The following is a 22,221-nucleotide window of genomic DNA, read 5'->3' as shown; positions in this document are numbered from 1 at the left end:
AATATATAATATATATATTATAATATATTATAATTATAATATATCTTATAATAAACTTTGAAGTACATGAAACAGATATTTAGCCATTGTGTTCTGCCTATAATATGAAAGTTTATATAATAAGTTTTAGAGTTATTTGCAACCATAGAAATGAGTAAACTTGAAAACCCACGGCATAAGAAAGGGCATTAAATAAATAAGACAATATCACAAATAACATTTACACATACATAGGGCAAAATTACTATTTGTACTTGTATGATACAGACACGAGTCAAAATTCCATCTTTTAATTAAGTTGTTTAGTGGACATAAAAGACACAGTTGAGGCTTTTGAAGTCAACCATAATAACTTCTTAGCTGTCCCTTAGTTTTTGCTCTAGAAATTTACTGGGTTTCTTATAAAGGGCAAATTCTCATCTATTCAGTAAACATCATTCTCTAGCAATGGTTCTCAACCAGAGGTACCATCCCTCAAGGAGTAGCTGGCAATATCTGGAGACATTTTTGGTTGTCTCAACTTGGGGGAGGGTGCAACTGGCATCTGGTGAGGAGAAAGTGTGGATGCTACTAAAAACCTACAGTGCACAAGACAAACCCCCACAACAGAGAACTATCCAGCCCCAAAAGTCAATAGTGTTGAGTTTGAGATGAACCTCTGTATACAATCGGCTATGTATCTAAGATTTTCAGGACACAGATGTATTTCTAATCTTTGAACTTCGTTTAATACACATTACAAAAAATTACTGCCATAAACCTTATCTTCTCTACTATCTCATATTAAAACACTGAAAAGAGCACATGTTGGTTTGCAAACATCATTCTATGGAGTTCCAGGTAGAAAAACAGGGTAACACAGATAAATTCATCATTAAGGAGCAAATGTTGTAAATAAAAATAAAACATGTAACTGCAATGTATATCAAATTAACCACCTGTATTTGATGACAATATTTTTGATGAGCTCAATTTTTTAAACAGTCAATACTATTACTGGATATATTTTTCTCACATTAGAGAAATGAATCTAATTTCAATAAAATGTATTACAGAATTAGGCACCAAAACTATGTTTGTTAAAAAGCATAGATTTTATCCTTTATTAGAGCCATCACATTTTTAAAATTCAAAAAATTGTAACTATATTTTTGATCATTTGAATAATACTGGAGCTTATTAAAATCCATAAGAGAAACACATTTTTTACTAGCCTATTAATAGCATTTTTCTTCCAATAACACCAATAAAATTTAAATTATTTATTTATATCAAAATTAGAAGCCCACAAGAGATGCTTTAGATTCTTTTAAGGGAGATGTAAGCTTCAGAATCACCATCTGAACTAAAAATATCTGTCCAATGTCTATTACCCAGACAAAAGAAGCATGATTAAATTTATAAAATTAAATTTATGTAATAATTTAATAATATTTTGTATCTATGTATAGACTCCCAGCATTTTTCACTATGTAATAGTACAGAAATTTGCTGGCATAAACATTTGGATTTGTTCATGACAAGTTCATGCAAAAGATCAATGGATAGCCAATAATGAAAAATTTTAATTTTTGAAATTTTAAGAACTTGAAATTCAGGTGCTGGTAATGACACCAGACTAAAACATAGTTTTAGAGAAGCTATCTATGGTATCCATTTATTCAAGCTTAGGGATGTTTTCAAATGAAGACTGTTTTCTATTTTTGCCACTCAAAAATTCTTAGAACCAGGTAATTTCACAACTCAGTGTGATAAATCCATCCCAGCCTGTGACAAGAGCTGCAGCGAACCATTCAGAACCAACATGAACTTTCATTCTGAGGTGTCCAATTTATGTTACTTGTACAAAGCTGCAAAACATTCCTGGAATATTCACTTTTTAAATATTTTAACACACAGGAAATGGGTTTCAATATCTATTATCAGGTATCCATGTTTATAAATGTGTTTCCTAATGACACGCATCAACATCAGAAAAGTTATTTTCCCTGCATTTTAATTTGCATCTGCTTTTAGACACTGCAGTGAGGCTCTGTGGAGTACAGTGATTTCTGGGTTATCCACTCTTCCCAGGAATGGCCAGGCATCTGCATGAATTCAGGAAATAATAAAACAACAAGAAGCAAGTACCATTGTCAAAACCTAAGGATAATGTTACTGATTTTCTTCCTGTTTTACTTATGTAGGTAAAGACATGTGGACACCTTTCTTTTACAGTGTTCAATTTTGATAAATTGCTCTTTTCTCAGAATCAGCATTGATGGGGAAAATATATTATCCTTATAACCTTTAAAAGAGCTGTATCTTTACTCACCATTGGTGAGCTATGAAAACGATTTCTGCAGGGATTCATGCTCAAGGTATATTTATGTATATGCATGTGTCTGTGTGTATATATATGTATATGTACATATATTTGCATATACATATACACATGCATTTATAATTATATAGACATGCATATCTATGCACATTTCAAACCATGTATGTGAGTATTCCTTCAAGAAAAAAAACAGTATCAAATTAAACTTCTCTGCGTTTTAGGTTGTTATAATATACACTGCAACAGTCTATATTGATAACATGTTTTGACTTAAGTTTGTGCTACAAGGCACTAATCTGTAGCATAAAAAATTTCCAAAAAGTAAGATATAATAGATTTGAAAGCATATGGGTGAATTAAATGCAAATAACTGTCCTTCTCTATCAATCAAAGGCCTTTTTTAAACATTACCAATAATATTCTAGCACACAAAGACCTTTCTTTGATTAAGAAAAGGCAAATCTCTGCAAAGATTTAAACATGCTCAATAGTTGGGATTTTTTCATTTGAAGCAAGAAGTTTTGTGAATTTTCAGATGGTGAAACAAAAGTGCAGCAAAAGCTATTAGCAGCATTGAGGAAAATACGGGAAAATATAAATAAGATAACATATCAGGAAAATCTCTCACATAATGGAATCAAATATTAAAAGGCATCCTCAAGAAATAATTTTCATTTCTCCAAGGTAAAATCTGGTTAGCGGCTTATTTCATTGAGTTCCTTTGGCTTGGCTGTCTTTTGTAAATCACAATTTATAGAGGGAACTTTGATTTACCTTTGCATAAAGAGCAGCATAAGGTACTTAAAGTAGGAGCGTTTTTAGATTTAAATTCACTGGTATATTTTAGATTACACATTTTCATTTAAAAATCACCTAAGATAAAAATGATCTTAGGAAAGATTTGAATAAACAAAGCTGTATAATCTTAGTTGATTTTTCATATCGTATCAATAATTTAGTCAAAATATATTTTATTGATTAGATTTATGCTTAGCATTATGAGTGAATTGTGTATTTGTTACTCTACTTTTTGGGGCAGAATTTGGTGCTCCAAATTCAGGGAAAACTGAGCTCTGTTGTAATTCAATAGAAATGAGCGACACCATACATGAAAACAAAATTTAGCATTAAAAAGGCCTATTCTTCATTTTCTCCATGTTTGTAGGGAACTGGTGTCTGTCTTCACCAATCTACTGTTTCTCACTTGTCTCCAGATGCGTCCGTGATTGACAGAAGTTCTTCCTGCACTAAAGTCACATAGGAGAGTCCGGGCCTCTGAGCAGTTACCACTGCCTCTGGAAGTATGCATGTCTTGTGGCCGAAGTTCAACAAGCTTACACATCTGTGCAATTTTAAAAAATCTTTTTGAACAGTTTAGTATCTTTCTGGAGAAGGCTTGTAATGATGTGGATGATGATGCATAAGATGAGATCCTAAAAAGTGACAAAATATGTCAGTCACATCCATTTATATGTATCAAATAAATGACAGAATTACTTTTATTTGTAGAAAAAGCACGAGACCCTGGCAAATGTTCCTTCCTATGACCATGTCTTTCCTATTACCAATCTGAGTGTACAACCACACTCCTTCTCTCCTTTTCCTGTTTTTCTCTTCCTCTTTGATGCCTTCCCAAACCATAAAATAACAAGAAAAAGAAGAAAAGCTCTTTTCCTTAAGCTCACACTTATCCAATCAAACCATAATCCTTTTTTATTTGCTCAAACAAGTTTTAAAAATTATCAAATACTTTTGTTAAATGGAATTTCTTTTTTTTAATTTTATTATTATTATACTTTAAGTTTTAGGGTACATGTGCACAATGTGCAGGTTAGTTACATATGTATATATGTGCCATGCTGGTGTGCTGCACCTATTAACTCATCATTCAGCATTAGGTATATCACCTAATGCTATCTCTCTCCCCTCCCCCCACCCCACCACAGTCCCCAGAGTGTGATGTTCCCCTTCCTGTGTCCATGTGATCTCATTGTTCAATTCCCACCTATGAGTGAGAACATGCGGTGTTTGATTTTTTGTTCTTGCGATAGTTTACTGAGAATAATGATTTCCAATTTCATCCATGTCCCTACAAAGGACATGAACTCATCATTTTTATGGCATAGTATTCCATGGTGTATGTGTGTCACATTTTGTTAATCCAGTCTATCATGGTTGGACATTTGGGTTGGTTCCAAGTCTTTGCTATTGTGAATAGTGCCACAATAAACATACGTGTGCATGTGTCTTTATAGCAGCATGATTTAAAGTCCTTTGGGTATATACCCAGTAATGGGATGGCTGGGTCAAATGGTATTTCTAGTTCTAGATCCATGAGGAATCGCCACACTGACTTCCACAATGGTTGAACTGGTTTACAGTCCCACCAACAGTGTAAAAGTGTTCCTATTTATCCACATCCTCTGCACATGTTGTTTCCTGACTTTTTAATGATTGCCATTCTAACTGGTGTGAGATGGTATCTCATTGTGGTTTTGATTTGCATTTCTCTGATGGCCAGTGATGGTGAGCATTTTTTTATGTGTGTTTTGGCTGCATAAATGTCTTCTTTTGAGAAGTGTCTGTTCATGTCCTTTGCCCACTTTTTGATGGGGTTGTTTGTTTTTTTCTTGTAAATTTGTTTGAGTTCATTGTAGATTCTGGATATGAGCCCTTTGTCAGATAAGTAGGTTGTGAAAATGTTCTCCCATTTTGTAGGTTACCTGTTCACTCTGATGGTAGTTTCTTTTGCTGTGCAGAAGCTCTTTAGTTTAATTAGATCCCATTTGCCAAATTTTGCTTTTGTTGACATTGCTTTTGCTGCCATTGCTTTTGCTGTTTTAGACATGAAGTCCTTGCCCATGCCTATGTCTTGAATGGTAATGTCTAGGTTTTCTTCTAGGGTTTTGATGGTTTTAGGACTAACGTTTAAGTCTTTAATCCATCTTGAATTAATTTTTGTATAAAGTGTAAGGAGGGGATCCAGTTTCAGCTTTCTACATATGGCTAGCCAGTTTTCCCAGCACCATTTATTAAATAGGGAATCCTTTCCCCATTGCTTGTTTTTCTCAGGTTTGTCAAAGATCAGATAGTTGTAGATATGCGGTGTTATTTCTGAGGGCTCTGTTCTGTTCCATTGATCTATATCTCTGTTTTGGTACCAGTACCATGCTGTTTTGGATACTGTAGCCTTGTAGTATAGGTTGAAGTCAGGTAGCATGATGCTTCCAGCTTTGTTCTTTTGACTTAGGATTGACTTGGTGATGCGGGCTCTTTTCTGGTTCCATATGAACTTTAAAGTAGTTTTTTCCAATTCTGTGAAGAAAGTCATTGGTAGCTTAATGGGGATGGCATTGAATCTATAAATTACCTTGGGCAGTATGGCCATTTTCACAATATTGATTCTTCCTACGCATGAGCATGGAATGTTCTTTGTTTGTATCCTCTTTTATTTCCTTGAGCAGTGGTTTGTAGTTCTCCTTGAAGAGGTCCTTCACGTCCCTTGTCTGGTGGATTTGTAGGTATTTTATTCTCTTTGAAGCAATTGTGAATGGGAGTTCACTCATGATTTGGCTCTCTGTTTGTCTGTTATTGGTGTATAAGAATGCTTGTGATTTTTGTACATTGATTTTGTATCCTGAGACTTTGCTGAAGTTGCTTATCAGCTTAAGGAGATTTTGGGCTGAGACAATGGGGTTTTCTAGATACACAATCATTTTGTCTGCACACAGGGACAATTTGACTTCCTCTTTTCCTAATTGAATATCCTTTATTTCCTTCTCCTGCCTAATTGCTCTGGCCAGAACTTCCAACACTATGTTGAATAGGAGTGGTGAGAGAGGGCATCCCTGTCTTGTGCCAGTTTTCAAAGGGAATGCTTCCAGTTTTTGCCCATTCAGTATGATATTGGCTGTGGGTTTGTCATAGATAGCTCTTATTATTTTGAGATACTTCCCATCAATACCTAATTTATTGAGAGTTTTTAGCATGAAGCGTTGTTGAATTTTGTCACAGGCCTTTTCTGCATCTATTGAGATAATCATGTGGTTTTTGTCTTTGGTTCTGTTTATATGCTGGATTACATTTATTGATTTGCATATATTGAACCAGCCTTGCATCCCAGGGATGAAGCCCACTTGATCATGGTGGATAAGCTTTCTGATGTGCTGCTGGATTTGGTTTGCCAGTATTTTATTGATGATTTTTGCACCAATGTTCATCAAGGATATTTGGTCTAAAATTCTCTTTTTTGGTTGTGTCTCTGCCCAGCTTTGGCATCAGGATGATGCTGGCCTCATAAAATGAGTTAGGGAGGATTCCCTCTTTTTCTATTGATTGGAATAGTTTCAGAAGGAATGGTACCCATTCCTCCTTGTACCTCTGGTAGAATTGGGCTGTGAATCCATCTGGTCCTGGACTCTTTTTGATTGCTAAGCTATTGATCATTGCCCCAATTTCAGAGCCTGTTATTGGTCTATTCAGTGATTCAACTTCTTCCTGGTTTAGTCTCAGGAGGGTGTATGTGTCCAGGAATTTACCCATTTCTTCTAGATTCTCTAGTTTATTTGCATAGAGGTGTTTGTGGTATTCTCTGAAGGTAGTTTGTATTTCTGTCGGATCAGTGGTGATCTGCCCTTTATCATTTTTTATTGCATCTATTTGATTCTTCTCTCTTTTCCTCTTTATTAGTCTTGCTAGCGGTCTATCAATTTGGTTGATCCTTTCAAAAAACCAGCTCCTGGATTCATTAATTTTTTGAAGGGTTTTTTTTTTGTCTCTATTTCCTTCAGTTCTGCTCTGATTTCAGTTATTTCTTGCCTTCTGCTAGCTTTTGAAAGTGTTTGCTCTTGCTTTTCTAGTTCTTTTAATTGTGACATTAGGATGTCAATTTTGGATCTTTCCTGCTTTCTCTTGTAGGCATTTAGTGCTATAAATTTTCCTCTACACACTGCTTTGAATGTGTCGCAGAGATTCTGGTATGTGTGTCTTTGTTCTGGTTGGTTTCAAAGAACATCTTTCTTTCTGCCTTCTTTTCATTATGTACCCAGTAGTCATTCAGGAGCAGGTTGTTCAGTTTCCATGTAGTTGAGCCGTTTTGAGTGAGTTTCTTAATCCTGAGTTCTAGTTTGATTGCACTGTGGTCTGAGAGACAGTTTGTTATAATTTCTGTTCTTTTACATTTGCTGAGGAGAGCTTTACTTCCAAGTATGTGGTCAATTTTGGAATAGGTGTGATGTGGTGCTGAAAAAAATGTATATTCTGTTGATTTGGGGTGGAGAGTTCTGTAGATGTCTATTAGGTCCACTTGGTGCCGAGCTGAGTTCAATTCCTGGGTATCCTTGTTAACTTTCTGTCTCGTTGATCTGTCTGATGTTGTCAGTGGGGTGTTAAAGTCTCCCATTATTATTGCGTGGGAGTCTAAGTCTCTTTGTAGGTCACGCAGGACTTGCTTTATGAATCTGGGTGCTCCTGTATTGGGTGCATATATATTTAGGATAGTTAGCTCTTCTTGTTGAATTGATCCCTTTACCATTATGTAATGGCCTTCTTTGTCTCCTTTGGTCTTTGTTGGTTTAAAATCTGTTTTATCAGACACTAGGATTGCAATCCCTGCCTTTTTTTTTCCATTTGCTTGGTAGATCTTCCTCCATCCTTTTATTTTGAGCCTACGTGTGTCTGCACGTTAGATGGGTTTCCTGAATACAGCACACTGATGGGTCCTGACTCTTTATCCAATTTGCCAGTCTATGTCTTTTAATTGGGGAATTTAGTCCATTTACATTTAAAGTTAATATAGTTATGTATGAATTTGATCCTGTCATTATGATGTTAGCTGGTTATTTTGCTCATTAGTTGATGCAGTTTCCTCCTAGGCTTGATGGTCTTTACAATTTGGCATGATTTTGCAGTGGCTGGTACCGGTTGTTCCTTTCCATGTTTAGTGCTTCCTTCAGGAGCTCTTTTAGGGCAGGCCTGGTGGTGACAAAATCTCTCAGCATTTGCTTGTCTGTAAAGTATTTTATTTCTCCTTCACTTTTGAAGGTTCGTTTGTCTGGGTATGAAATTCTGGGTTGAAAATTCTTTTCTTTAAGAATGTTGAATATTAGCCCCCACTCTCTTCTGGCTTGTAGAGTTTCTGCCGAGAGATCTGCTGTTAGTCTGATGGGCTTCCCTTTGTGGGTAACCTGACCTTTCTCTCTGGCTGCCTTTAACATTTTTTCCTTCATTTCAACTTTGGTGAATCTGACAATTATGTGTCTTGGAGGTGCTCTTGTGAAGGAATATCTTTGTGGGATTCACTGTATTTCCTGAATCTGAATGTTGGCCTGCCTTGCTAGATTGGGGAACTTTTCCTGGATAATATCCTGCAAAGTGTTTTCCAACTTGGTTCCATTCTCCCTGTCACTTTCAAGTACAGCAATCAGACATACTTTTGGTCTTTTCACATAGTCCCATATTTCTTGGAGGCTTTGTTCGTTTATTTTTACTCTTTTTTCTCTAAACTTCCCTTCTCACTTCATTTCATGCATTTCATCTTCCATCACTGATACCCTTTCTTCCAGTTGATCACATTGGCTCCTGAGGCTTCTGCATTCTTCATGTGGTTCTCAAGCCTTGGCTTTCAGCTCTATCAGCTCCTTTAAGCATTTCTCTGTATTGGTTATTCTAGTTATAAGTTTGTCTAATTTTTTTTCTAAGTTTTTAACTTCTTTGCCTTTGGTTTGAATTTCCTCCTGTAGCTCGGAGTAGTTTGATCATCTGAAGCTTTCTTCTCTCAACTGGTCAAAGTCATTCTCCATCCAGCTTTGTTCCATTGCTGGTGAGGAACTGCATTCCTTTGGAGGAGGAGAGGTGCTCTGCTTTCTAGAGTTTCCAGTTTTTCTGCTCTGTTTTTTCCCCATCTTTGTGGTTTTATCTACTTTTGGTCTTTGATGATGGTGATGTACGGATGGGTTTTTGGTGTGGATGTCCTTTCTGTTTGTTAGTTTTCCTTCTAACAGACAGGATCTTCAGCTGCAGGTCTGTTGGAGTTGGCTGGAGGTCCACTCCAGACCCTGTTTGCCTGGGTATCAGCAGCGGTGGCTGCACAACAGTGGATTTTTGTGAACCGTGAATGCTGCTGTCTGATCGTTCCTCTGGAAGTTTTGTCTCAGGGGAGTACCCAGCTGTGTGAGGTGTCAGTCTGCCCCTACTGGGGATATCTCCCAGTTAGGCTGCTCAGGGGTCAGGGGTCAGGGACCCACTTGAGGAAGCAGTCTGCCCATTCTCAGATCTCCAGCTGCGTGCTGGGAGAATCACTGCTATCTTCAAATCTTTCAGACAGGGACATTTAAGTCTGCAGAGGTAACTTCTGTCTTTTTGTTTGTCTGTGCCCTGCTCCCAGAGGTGGAGGCTACAGAGGCAGGCAGGCCTCCTTGAGCTGTGGTGGACTCCACCCAGTTCAAGGTTCCCTGCTGCTTTGTTTACCAAAGCAAGCCTGGGCAATGGCAGGTGCCCCTCCCCAGCCTTGCTGCCACCTTGCAGTTTGATCTCAGACTGCTGCGCTAGCAATCAGTGAGACTTCATGGGCATAGGCCCCTCCAAGCCATGTGCGGGATATAATCTCCTGGTGCGCTGTTTCCTAAGCCCCTCGGGAAAGTGCAGTATTCAGCTAGGAGTGACCCAATTTTCCAGGTGCCGTCTGTCACCCGTTTCTTTGACTAGGAAAGCGAACTCCCTGACCCTTTGCACTTCCCAAGTGAGGCAATACCTCGCCCTGCTTTGGCTCATGTACTGTGTGCTGTACCCACTGTCCTGCACCCACTGTCTGGCACTCCCTAGTGAAATGAACCTGGTACCTCAGATGGAAATGCAGAAATCACCCATCTTCTGCATCTCTCACGCTGGGAGCTGTAGACCAGAGCTGTTCCTATTTGGCCATCTTCTATTTCCGGAGAAGAATCTTAAAGCCCTGTTAAATGGAATTTCTATGAAGGAATATCAGAAAAGCATTTATCCAACAAAAATTTTAGAGGCTATCAAGCTCTTCCATTGTGATAGTTTTTGTTTTTCTTCAAATTATAAGCATAACAAGTTATCAATTATAAGCATACTAACCTATCATTTAAAAAAACCAGAGTTAAAACTGTGACTAATTCTCAATGTTTTATCCACACACTAATCATCAGACACTTTTTTAAAAAATTTAAGCTAGAAAGTAAAGTAAAAGAAGTACATAATTTAAAAATCAGCAAGAGGCTGTTTTGAAAATCTAGGTGACAGTTTTCTTTTTAAATTTTACTTGATTTAGCAATAAAAAGGTGGACTTGGGTCACATCATGAAGAAAATTCATGACATTTATTACAGTAATATCTATGTAACAAGAACATAAGTTCCTTAGTAAAATATTATTTCCTATATTGTGATATTTGAGAATCTTGATTTAAAAATATTTCAGATTGATATGAGACTACAGATTTTTTTCCCATATGTGCTTACGGTTTAAAAGACAAGGAAAAAAGCATGCATTATATAGGGAAAAGTGCAAGGAAGGAAAAAAAATGAAGGATAGAGGAAAGGAGAAAAGGAGAGGGAAGGAAAAAGGGAGGGAGAGAGGGTGGAGAAGGAAACAAGGGAGGAATAAAGAAGGGAGAAAATGGGGAAAGAGGAAGGGAGGGAGAAAAAAGAAAAATTAAGCATCAACTATGCAATGTATACTACAGGTGCCTGGAATAGAATCTAGTAAGTCGGTACAAACAGGGAGAAAGAATTTCAGATGATGACAATTTCCCTATCTCATAGAAACCTGTAATAGTGTATTTATTTGTTTTCATTTTCCAGCAAGATTTTTCTCTATGTCCACAAGACCTGACAGGATGGCTTAATGCCCTGGCACCCCACTCACTGTGTGCTGAAGAGGGTGGGAGCTTCCACATCTGGAATATCTTGAGGGTGGCAGGCCCCTCCCCTCCTGGGGTCAGTACTTGCACTTCCAGTCAATAAAGAGTAGATGGTCTCCGATTGGGCACTGTTGGGACATAGTGATCCTAAGGGGACAATATGAAAGAGGATGCTCACCGACAACCTTTCAGAGACAATGCACAATGCACAGAGAGCTTAGAACAGTTTTTCCTCCACTGGAGAATATCATACAGAGGCAAGTTTGGTTGCTTTCTACAGGCATAGTTTAATTTATAGACAATTTCTCATTTGTAGGGGTTCTCTGCCATATGGTTTCTTAGCACCTCACTCAATTCTTGGCAGACTAAGACACTTGGCAGAGTTAAAATATGCTGAGGTGCCAGTTCTTAGGGCTCACTCCTGGTGTTTTATTTATTTTTTTAATTCCTTAACATAAGACTTTCCCATGGTTTAAAGTCTTCAGCTGCACATCTTGTGATGTGAACTCTTGATAATCCAAATTTCAGTGAATGAGCCAACTGTTTTTCTTAAAACACAATATCTGTCAATGCCCATAACTGAAAATGTTTATTTTTATGCCAACACATTCTTTTCAAAATGCAAAAATACCAAGTATATTTATAGGATAACTACTCTCTAATTCCATGGAGTTTTTCCTTCTGAGATTTAAGTTGTGTTTCTTTCCCTCCCCACCACCCCTTTTTGGATTTTGTAATGGTAGCTGGCTATTCTAAGGGCATTTTCAGAGAAGGTAAAATCCCACAGATGATTTTTTTTTTCTGAAGCCAGGGAATTAAGTGGACTGAGAGACAGGCCAACTCATTACAGCCTCGAGCCAAATTTGAAGTTGGGGGGAAGACAGACAAACAACAAGCTTCTTTTAGCTATTCCCGCCCTCCCCAACTCAACACTTCAAACAGGCCATGTCCACTGGGACCAGAGAGACATGAGGTTAACAAAGATATAAGAAAATGGCTTAATCACTTATATACAAGATAGGGTAAGGTCTTTTCATGAGTTAGCTCTAGCCATCAAACTTTATCTAGATGGCAGCTTATGCTACTTCTTAGCTATGCAGTCACATTTGTGTTGTGTTAATACTTGCAAAAGATACACTCAGAAGAAGAAAATGCAAAAATAAGACTCAATAGTACAGCACACAGAATGACAGAGGTAGCCACCTCTGAAGGTCAGTAAAAAGGAGCAGTAGATACCAATGACACGGACATAGTACAAGAGGTGGGATGTACGGAAGGCAGGATCTGGGGCTGTGAAATAATGCTGTTGGGTAGGCTGTTCTGTCTGCTTTCCGTAGTGACCTCAGCCCAAGTCACTTGAAACCCAGTCATGGGCTGATAGAGATTGGCCTTGGCCATCTTCCAAGTAAAGTGACTGGTGGTGTTCACATCCTGGAAGATGAATGAAGCAGAAAGGTTCTCAGGCTTAGCTAGCACCTTAGAAAGAACATGACCTGCAGCAATGCAAGAAGGAAAACCAGGATTAGGCAACTGAAGAAGGTGTCACCATGGGATCCATTGTAGGAATTTTCGGCAGCCAGTCTATGGGATGATATTAATAGAAGCAACGTGATCTTGTTCTTTAAACATGGGTTCAGACAATCACCCCCTTTGACATATGGGGATAGGTTGAGTAGGAATCTCCTCACTCTTAACTTGGTACTAAATGCTCCTTCCAGTCTTTTGGGGATCATTTTTAGAATGCTTTTTTGAAGATGGAAGCAGGAGAGCAGTTTAGACCCTGGCAAGACTTAACTATTTCTTAAAGAATAGCGTTGACTGCAGTGAGAAGGCAAATATTAAAGCTGTTAGAAGAGTTATTAAATCCAAGGGTTTTTTTTGTTTTGTTTTGTTTTTTGTTTTTTGTTTTTTTTTTAGAGGTGAGATCTTGCTATGTTGCCCATGCTGGTCTGGAACTCCAGGGCTCAAGTGATTCTCCCATCTCAGCCTCTCAAAGTACTGGGATTTCAGGCATGAGCTACTATGCCTGGCCAAATCCAGTGCATTTAAAAGAGTTTCTCCCACTGCAAGACAGGGACTTTGGCTAGGAGAGGGGATGGAAGGTACAGATGTGAGGTTTGCTAGGTTGGCATGGAAGGTGTGTGAGTATAACCCACACAGCAAAAGGGTGGGGAAAAATGAAATAATTATATCAAACTTTCCCAAAACACAAGCAGTATCTAAATGTTTGCCTTCATTTCCAAAGGGATAACATTGCTATCAAAGGACATCTTTCCAAGGCTGTTAGGCTTTAAAGTAACACATTCATTCCTACATCTCTTCCCTCCACATTGGGCCAACATAACACAACTTAGAAAGAGAGGCACTTTTGGTATTCACGGTCTTGTGAAACACAGTTTGGCAAGGTTTGCAAAGCGCTGCTGACACCGTAGACCTAGATGTAGAAGTCCTTCAGGTGATAATGTGCCTGCTTCGCCCAGGCAGCCAACAGGCTTGTGGCTGTTCCCCTTAAGAGCAGAGCATGGTGGAGTAGTGAAGAAAACAGCTTCTGCCTTGGAGTGACTTTTGGCCATATTGGTTGGACAGTCACCTTATACTTGCAGGAAAATGACACATGTTGAAGCATTATATAACTTTCGTAGAGCAAGAGAAAGAGAATTATGCTAGGAATAAATCTCATTAGGGATTAAAAAACACTGGCAAGAATTGAAATAATATTCCATCCAATAAGGATGTTTTCCTATATAGTGTGTGCAATATGGCTTTTATAAAAAGTACAAAGCACATACTGTCCACATTTTGATTAATGACAATTGTGAAACACTCCCATGGCTGCAGGATATGCCTTCTAGAATTAAACAGAATTGTAATAATTCCTTATCAAAGCAGGCTACTTCTAAGGTCACAATCAGCATTTTTCAGTTGGTAGCAGTGCAGGTAGTGGTGTAAAGCTGTAAATACAAATCTAACTTTTTTCAGTTAAAAAAAACTAATGCAGGCTTCTCTGAGACATAGAATTAGTTTATATGTAAGTTTTTCTGTTAAAAAATGATGATACTCTTTAGCAATATAATTTTTCCCTTTTTTGGAGTGCTGTTACAGTTTTCTGCCATAATTTGTGATTAAATGTAAATAAAAGAAAGAGGCTAAATGGTAACAAGTCAGGGGCTAAGAATATAACTTTATGATAATGTCAAAAGATGACATTTCCTGTGATAACAGGTGTGTATCTCTGTTTCTTTTATATCTGGCTAAGTGGCACCTATCCATTCTGTTTTGTATTTACCAATTCTTAATGAATATGTTAAAAGTGCAGATGGATAGCTGGGCATAGTGACTCGTGTCATAGTCCTAGCTACTTGAGAGGCTGAGGTGGGAGGATTGCTTGAACTCAGGAGTTTGTGATGAGTTTAGGCAACATAGTGAGACTCCATGGTTTTTATGTGTGTGTGTGTGTGTGTGTGTGTGTGTGTGTGTAATTATTTTAAGAGAGAAAAAAAGGTACAGATGGAACATCTCTGGTACTCATTGGATGATGGGTAGGGGATCTTGCTAGAAAGCAGCAGGGTTGACGGGAAAAACATGAGACAAGAATTAAAATCAAAACTGAGGCTTGAGTGATTTACTTAAGTGAGGAGTGGAAGTGGCTGCAGGTGACAGAGCACTGAATGATCAAAAGAGACCAGGAGTGACCTCCAGGTGTGCTGGCCCTTCATCCAGATGGTGACAGGAGATGGGGTGCACCCAACTCTGCAGCCAGTTAGCACAAACAGTGAATAGGAAACAAATCAATCTGGACAACGCAAGACCAACCCAAGCCCAACCCAAGCCCAAGCCAAGGCCTCCATGTCTCTTTGGAAGTCTGAATTGCTTTTCTTTGGAAATAAATCTGCTCTTTACATGGGACTGTATTGGAATCCAAGGTTAGCTATTAAGGATCCTGTTTCACAGATATTTCAAGATTGCTTTCATGTTGCATAGGAGACAGACATCTGCAGCAGTAAGTGAATTAGTGGATGCTCCATTGTAGCATAAAAACAAATTATAATAATTGGATCTAAAGGCTTAAAACTAAATACAGATAAGTTCTACACCCCTAGAAGGATAATTTTTCTGGAGTTTGATTTTTATTTCTGCCGGATACATTACATCTGCTCAGCAAATAGTTGTTACCACTTTCAGAGTTCCTAAAGATGATAAGCCTAGGATTGGGGAATTGCATTGACATAAGCCCAGTTCTGTAAGGTTCTGAGGCACACACATATAAGTAAAACAAAAACCTCACCCCTCTGCCCACAAAAATATTAATAATTCCTGCTTCTGTTTATTGCTTTCTCTGCTTTTCAAATCAACTTCCTTATTTAGAATGTCTGTTTAATTATTTTACTGAAGGTCACAAACATTGGAGCTAATTTAAGGATAAATAAAAGGAGAAACATTGCTGAACATGAGACAAATTAAGTCCAGTAAAAAAGAAAAAGAATCTGTGTATTTCTGAAAATCCAGTGACTTGTTTTATCTCACTCTCTTAAAATTATGCCAGCAGGTATGGTTCTTAAAATATTGTGCTTGCTTTAGAAAATGTTCAAAAAAAAATATTCTAGTTATATGTCACAAACCAAAACATTCTGTTTGGGGCCATGTTTTTGGATTTTTTAAACTGTCCTGAGGTATTACATATAAATTTCCATAAAAGTGTATTATACACTTTGTATAATACAATGGCCTCTTAAACATTTTGTGTTGGTTTGTTGATTCTAATCTATAATTCATGAATGAACCCCAAAATATTTGGAATAACATTTTGGGCAATATTGACAGAGTTGCTATCCTCAGAGAGTTTAATGTTCTCTTAAAGTTGAAAGTCAAAATATTGGTGCATGCTATACAGGACAGGGAGATTATTTCACTAACTGAGCTGATGGCAGTTAGGGACATGGTGCTAAATGATAGAGTCACATAGAAATCCACTTGTACCATTACACCTTTAGATCACGGTGACATGTCAAAATTCAGAAAATAATTCAAAGCTTTTGTCCAGTTAAGATGAAGCACACACATACTCAGACATATTTCCCCCTGAAATATGGGAGTTCTTTAAGAACTGTGTCTTTAGTCTCTGCACTTTAGGTTTTGCTCCATGTGGATAACAGAGTAAGCTCCCAGTGCAATGGTGTGAATGGATAAAAGAATGAGTGAATATAATGACCATTCTGCTTTCCGCTTCTATCAAGTCATTACTCAATAGCTGATTTGTGAGAATGAGTTATCTGTTTGACATGTCTAGTTTGTACATCCTCCTGTCTAATTATGTTCACAGATCAAGTTGGCCTAGAGATCATGTCCTTACGTGGGTCATGCCAGATGATGCCTCTGATCCGGTTGTTCTGTTGTGGGCACACACTTCAGGAAACCACCGCACATGATATCGGTTGACAGTGGGATCTATAATGCCAAAACACGCAAACAAAAATAATAGGCCGGATGTTACATTCCAGGTAGCCTGGGGTTCTTGAACTTGAGAGGAGAAAAGGAGAGGAAATGAAACTCTACAGGTGACCAATAAATGCACAGTGAGCCAAAGGAGGTGAGATTCTGATTACTTAATAATTATAATAATTAGTAATTCTGAATACTTAATCATTAAGAACAAAGTAAGGGAAAAAAGTAATATACTGCCAAGGGAAAACCTGTGTTGAAGTGCAAGTACTAAGTAGAAAAAAAAATTAGTAAAGTCATAGCAAAATGATTCCAAAGATGTCTTGAGAATAACCTAGCCATGGTTTTTACAGTAAGCAAAGCCCTACAATGAAAGGCAACACCTAGCAACATCTCTCGTAATTCCTGTTGTAAAAGAGAATCATCAGAAGTTTCTCAATCCTACCTTTTTTTTGATAAAGATGAGATACTATTGAATCCACACAAGAACAAAAACATTGCCTTCACACTTGCAGAATTGGCTATCCACGTTTATTTCCTGTTATGTATTGCCATAAAGAAGTTCTTTTGTCAAAAGGATAGGGACGTATGCTTCCCACTTTCCCTTAACCAAGCGCATCGTGGCATTTCTGTATGGCTGATCCCTACTGAAATATGACTTGGTGTTCTCAAACACAGGCCAGAAGACTGACCCTTTGAACACGTTTATTCCCAGGGCAAGAGGAATATTTTCTGTACATTTCTTTACTTTGGACAATAAAGTGGGGGGAAAAAAAGATAAAATAACGGCAAGCAACTCAATGAGTGTGGGAAAGCAGACCTTGACAGTCTCGGGTTTATTAATCACCCCAGTGTGTCCGAGGAGTGTGAAATGGCACCAAACGGCACCATTTTGCAGGTGATTTAACATCTTGTCCCCCAACATCATGCCAAGTGTTTGATGGGGGTTTTCAGAGGAGAAAACTCTTTGATGAAATTGGGTTGATCTAGTGGGAACGTCGCTTTGAGCACTTTGGAACCAGAAAAGAAGAACTTTAAATCCGAGAAAGCAAACAGATATAAAAGTGGGCACTCCGGGCATTTAGCAAAAAGAGAAATCATGTACTAGAGGTTTTAATTTTTACATAGCAGACATCAAGAGTTTATTTTTTAAAAAAAGAATTATAGGCTATGCACAACGCTGAAGTCAATCACTGAGTGTGTTCATGTTCTTCCATTCAACAGCAATGAAATAATCACACAGGAGTGGCTGCTGCCCTCCTGAATTTTACATAGTAATGGGGCCAATAATAACAGAGAATAAATACAATACATAGATAAGATAGATATTATGTTAGAACGTAGTAAGTCCACATATAAATACAGAAGGTGGCTGGGCACGGTGGTTCACGCCTGTAATCCCAGCACTTTGGGAGGCCGAGGCAGGCAGATCACTAGGTCAGGAGTTTGAGACCAGCCTGGCCAACATGGTGAAACCCCCTCTCTACTAAAAATACAAAAATTAGCCAGGCGTGGTGGCAGGCGCCTGTAATCCCAGCTACTCGGGAGGCTGAGGCCAGAGAATCTCTTGAAACCGGAAGGCGGATGTTTCAGTGAGCCGAGATCACGCCACTGCACTCCAGCCTGGGCAACAAGAGCAAAACTCCGTCCCCCACCACCCCCCCTCAAAAACAAAAAAACAAAAACAACAAAAAAAACAGAAGGTAAGGGCAGTAGGGTGGATTGACAAAAAGTGCTGATTTTATATAAGGCGACTGGCGTGTGTTCAATTCTGAGTCAGGACTTGAAGAAGGTGTAGCAGTGGGTAGTGGCACTGCAGAGACCTGTGGGAGGGTGTTCTCAGCCAGCCCTGTCCAACAGAACTGGCGGGTGTGATGGAAATGTTCTGTCTGTGGTAAACACTAGTCACCTGTGCCTATAAAGCATTTCACATGTCCTCTGTTTAACAGAGGAATTTAATTCTTTATTCTGTTTCATTTTAATTAATTTAAATTTAAACAGCTGAAGATGGCCATGGTTACAATATTGGGCAGCTTAAATGCTCTACCAGCAGGGAATACACAGCACGTGCCAAAGTGCTGACATGAGAACGGAGCATGACGGATGACTGAAGGTCTTTGGTGAAGAGCAGTCAGGGGACTTGGGGTGGCTACATTACAGCAATACAAGGAGGCTTGGCTGCCCTGGGGATCCTCCATATCCTAAAAATCCTTTACATATTTTACAATGCAATTATATTTTCATAGGAGGCAGCATCAAGAGTGACACATGGGGCACTCCTTTTGGGTTCCCTCCCTTTTGTTAGCCCTAAATCTTGCCATGTCTGAGTTCACTGCACTTTCATCTTCTCTCTGTGTCACCTCCATGAATCACTTCATTGATTCCCATGGTTTGAAAAATTTTTCTGCTGACAGCTCCCAAATATCTACTTTCACCTGAGCTAGTCCCTTGAAGAGCTGATGCTCCCTCCTTCCTCTCCCATGTGGAGGCCTTCCAAATTCAACTTTGCTGTAGCTACCATGTTGATTTCTGCACCTCAACTGCTCCTTGCATTCACACTTTTCTTTCTGGCTGTAGGATGCAGAATTTTGACCCCACACATAACCTTCAAGGAAGGTGGGCTTCAGCAAGCAACTCCAACAGCCTCAGTGAGCCTCATTCCCTGTATCTGAGAATAAGGATACTAATTCAGCCAATGCAATAGGTTTGGTGTGTTTTAAATCAGTTCATGTACTGGTTTTCTACAGCTGCTGTGACAAATTACCTTGAGTGTAGATGCTTAAAACAATATAAATGTCTTCTCTTCTGGAGGTCTGAAATGGGTGTCACTGGTCTAAAATCAAGGCAGGCCTGTACTCCTTTCTGGAGGCTCCAGGGAAGAATGTATTTTCATGACTTTTCAGGTTTCTAGAGGCTTCTGGCATTCTTTGGCTGGTGGTGCCCTTCCACCAGCTTCAAAGTCAACAACACTGGGCTGAGTCCTTCACACCATGCCATCTCTCTGATTCTTGCACTCTGCTTCCCTATTCTACTTTTAAGGACTTTTGTGATTGTATTCGTTTCCACCCAAATAATTAAGGGTAATATCCCCATCTCAAGGTTGGCTTTGAGTCATTGAATGGCTTTTCTCTGCCCTCTGAATAAAGACACTAATACTCAGCCTGGCTTCCAGGTCTCCACTGCCTCTACATATTTATCTCATGCAGACACTCCTCTCTTTCCCAATGTTTTGTTTGATTCTGTGGTTACTTCATGAATCCCTGTCAACCCCATTTGGTTAGAGCTCCATAACTATAAAGATAATGCCTATTTGCTGTCACTGTTGCATAAACAAAGATGAGCATGGTGCCTGGCAGGTGATAAACAGACAGTAAACATTTAATGAATAAATAAGTGAACAAAGGTATACCAGTTCAAATTCACTTTTATTTCTCTACTCATTCTGGCAACAGTGAAAATAATTCCTTATAATCTAAGACATGGAAGAAAGTGTGAAAAGACATGATATTACATAAGGTATTTAAAAGCAATCTGAGAAAGTAAAATATAAATTAAACTTAGATTAAAAATGCCCTGAAAGTATTGTAAATGGCACCCCCAAATGACCAGTATGGGGACTAACAATGCCCACACTCATTTATGTGAGTTGAGCTCAATTTTAACAGATCAATTCATAGATATTTGCTTTGATGGAAGTCATTTATACAAACATCATGTCCTTAGCTTTATCTTGCCAATGACTAAAATCCTAAGAGCTTGTATTTTAGGTTATGACTGCAGGTCTCAATCTGTAACTAGAATATTAAAAATAGCATAGTTCAGGCCGGGCGTGGTGGCTCATGCCTGTAATCCCAGCACTTTGGGAGGCTGAGGTGGGTGGATTGTCTGAGGTCAGGAGCTCAAGAGCAGCCTGGCCAGCATGGTGAAACCCTGTCGCTACTAAAAATACAAAAATTAGCCAGGTATGGTGGCACATGCTTGTAATCCCAGCTACTCGGGAGGCTGAGGCAGGAGAATCGCTTGAACCCGGGAAGTGGATGTTGCAGTGAGCTGAGATCGTGCCATTGCACTCCAGCCTGGGCAACAACAGTAAAACTCTGTCTTAAAAAAATAATAATAAAATAAAATAAATAGCCAAACACTTCCTGAAAGGGTGTATCTGAAAATTCTGTGCTAAATACCCAATTGATCTGGTTCCTTAGCTTAATTCCTTCCACAAACAAATGACATTACAAAGAAAGTACCTGAAAAGTATTTTTAAGTGATAAAAAATTTACCTGTAATATGCTTCAACTATGGTTCAAAAATTAGATGGGTCTAATTTTCTTTTCAAATAGATGTAACTCACAGTGTCTGGCATAAATAAAGGGCTCTAAAATTTTTCATTAAATGTGAATTCCTCAGTTCGCAAAAGTCTAATGACAAAGAATGATAGGGTTATTGACATTAGAGCTCTGAGAAAGAGGCAATCCTTGGGTTCTCCAGAATAATAATGGCTTTAAAAAGAATTGTAAGTCACAGCACTAGGGAAGGGGGCACACACTTAGAGAGGTGTCACAGAACGCCAATTCCATCAGGGTAGGGATTTCTGTCTGCCTCTTTGCAGTGTTTTAGCATCGGAAATGGTGCATTGCATACAGTAGGTGCTCAGTAAAGGTTAGTTGAATGAAGTCCTCTCATGGATCAATGCCTCATACTCTATCTGTAAACATGATCTGGTGAAACAGAACTTTCTGATGTACAACTAAAATAAGAATTTTTGAGTATCACATAGGCATTTCTACTTAAAATAGAAGCATGAATGTTTCCTCTATGTCTGAGCTAACTTTTCACATTTACGTTGTAGAGACACAAAGTCTAGAGCCAGAAAACCATCAAGATGCAGTGGCTCAGGCAGCCTGCTTTTATTCCCTTGTCTGGCCCCACCCAAATCCTGCTGATTGGTCCATTTTACAGAGAGCTGATTGGTCTGTTTTGACAGGGTGCTGATTGGTGCGTTTACAATCCCTGAGCTAGACACAAAAGTTCTCCGTGTCCCCACTAGATTAGCTAGATACAGAGTGTTGACACAAAAGTTCTCCACATGCCCACCAGAGTAGCTAGATACAGAGTGTCAATTGGTGCATTCACATACCCTGAGCTAGACACAGGGTACTGATTGGTGTGTTTACAAACCTTGAGCTAGATACAGAGTGCTGATAGGTGTATTTATAATCCCTTAGCTAGACATAAAGGTTCTTCAAGTCCCCACCAGACTCAGGAGCTCAGCTGGCTTCACCCAGTGGATCCTGCACCAGGACCACAGGTGGAGCTGCCTGCCAGTGGCGCGCCACACGGTCACACTCCTCAGCCCTTGGCTGATCGATGGGACTCAGCACCATGGAGCAGGGAGCAGCACTCATCCAAGAGGCTCAGGCTTGGTGGGCTGCAGGTCCCAAGCCCTGCCCCACAGAGAGGAAGCTAAGGCCTGGTAAGAAATTGAGCACAGCAGCTGCTGGCCCAGGTGCTAAGCCCCTCACTGCCTGGGGCTTGTGGGTGGGCTGGCCACTCCAAGTGCAGGGCTTGCTGAGTGCACGCCC

General features: G+C 39.0%; 1 pseudogene; it reads right to left on the bottom strand.

The window, feature by feature from the left end:
• Positions 1-22,221, bottom strand: part of ANOS2P (anosmin 2, pseudogene) — a 168,317-nt pseudogene that overhangs the window by 501 nt on the left and 145,595 nt on the right.

The sequence above is a fragment of the Homo sapiens genome, chromosome Y, assembly GCF_000001405.40.
Source record: "Homo sapiens chromosome Y, GRCh38.p14 Primary Assembly".
In the NCBI taxonomy this organism is placed as follows: Eukaryota; Metazoa; Chordata; class Mammalia; order Primates; family Hominidae; genus Homo; species Homo sapiens.
This window is presented reverse-complemented; position numbering and strand designations above follow the sequence as displayed.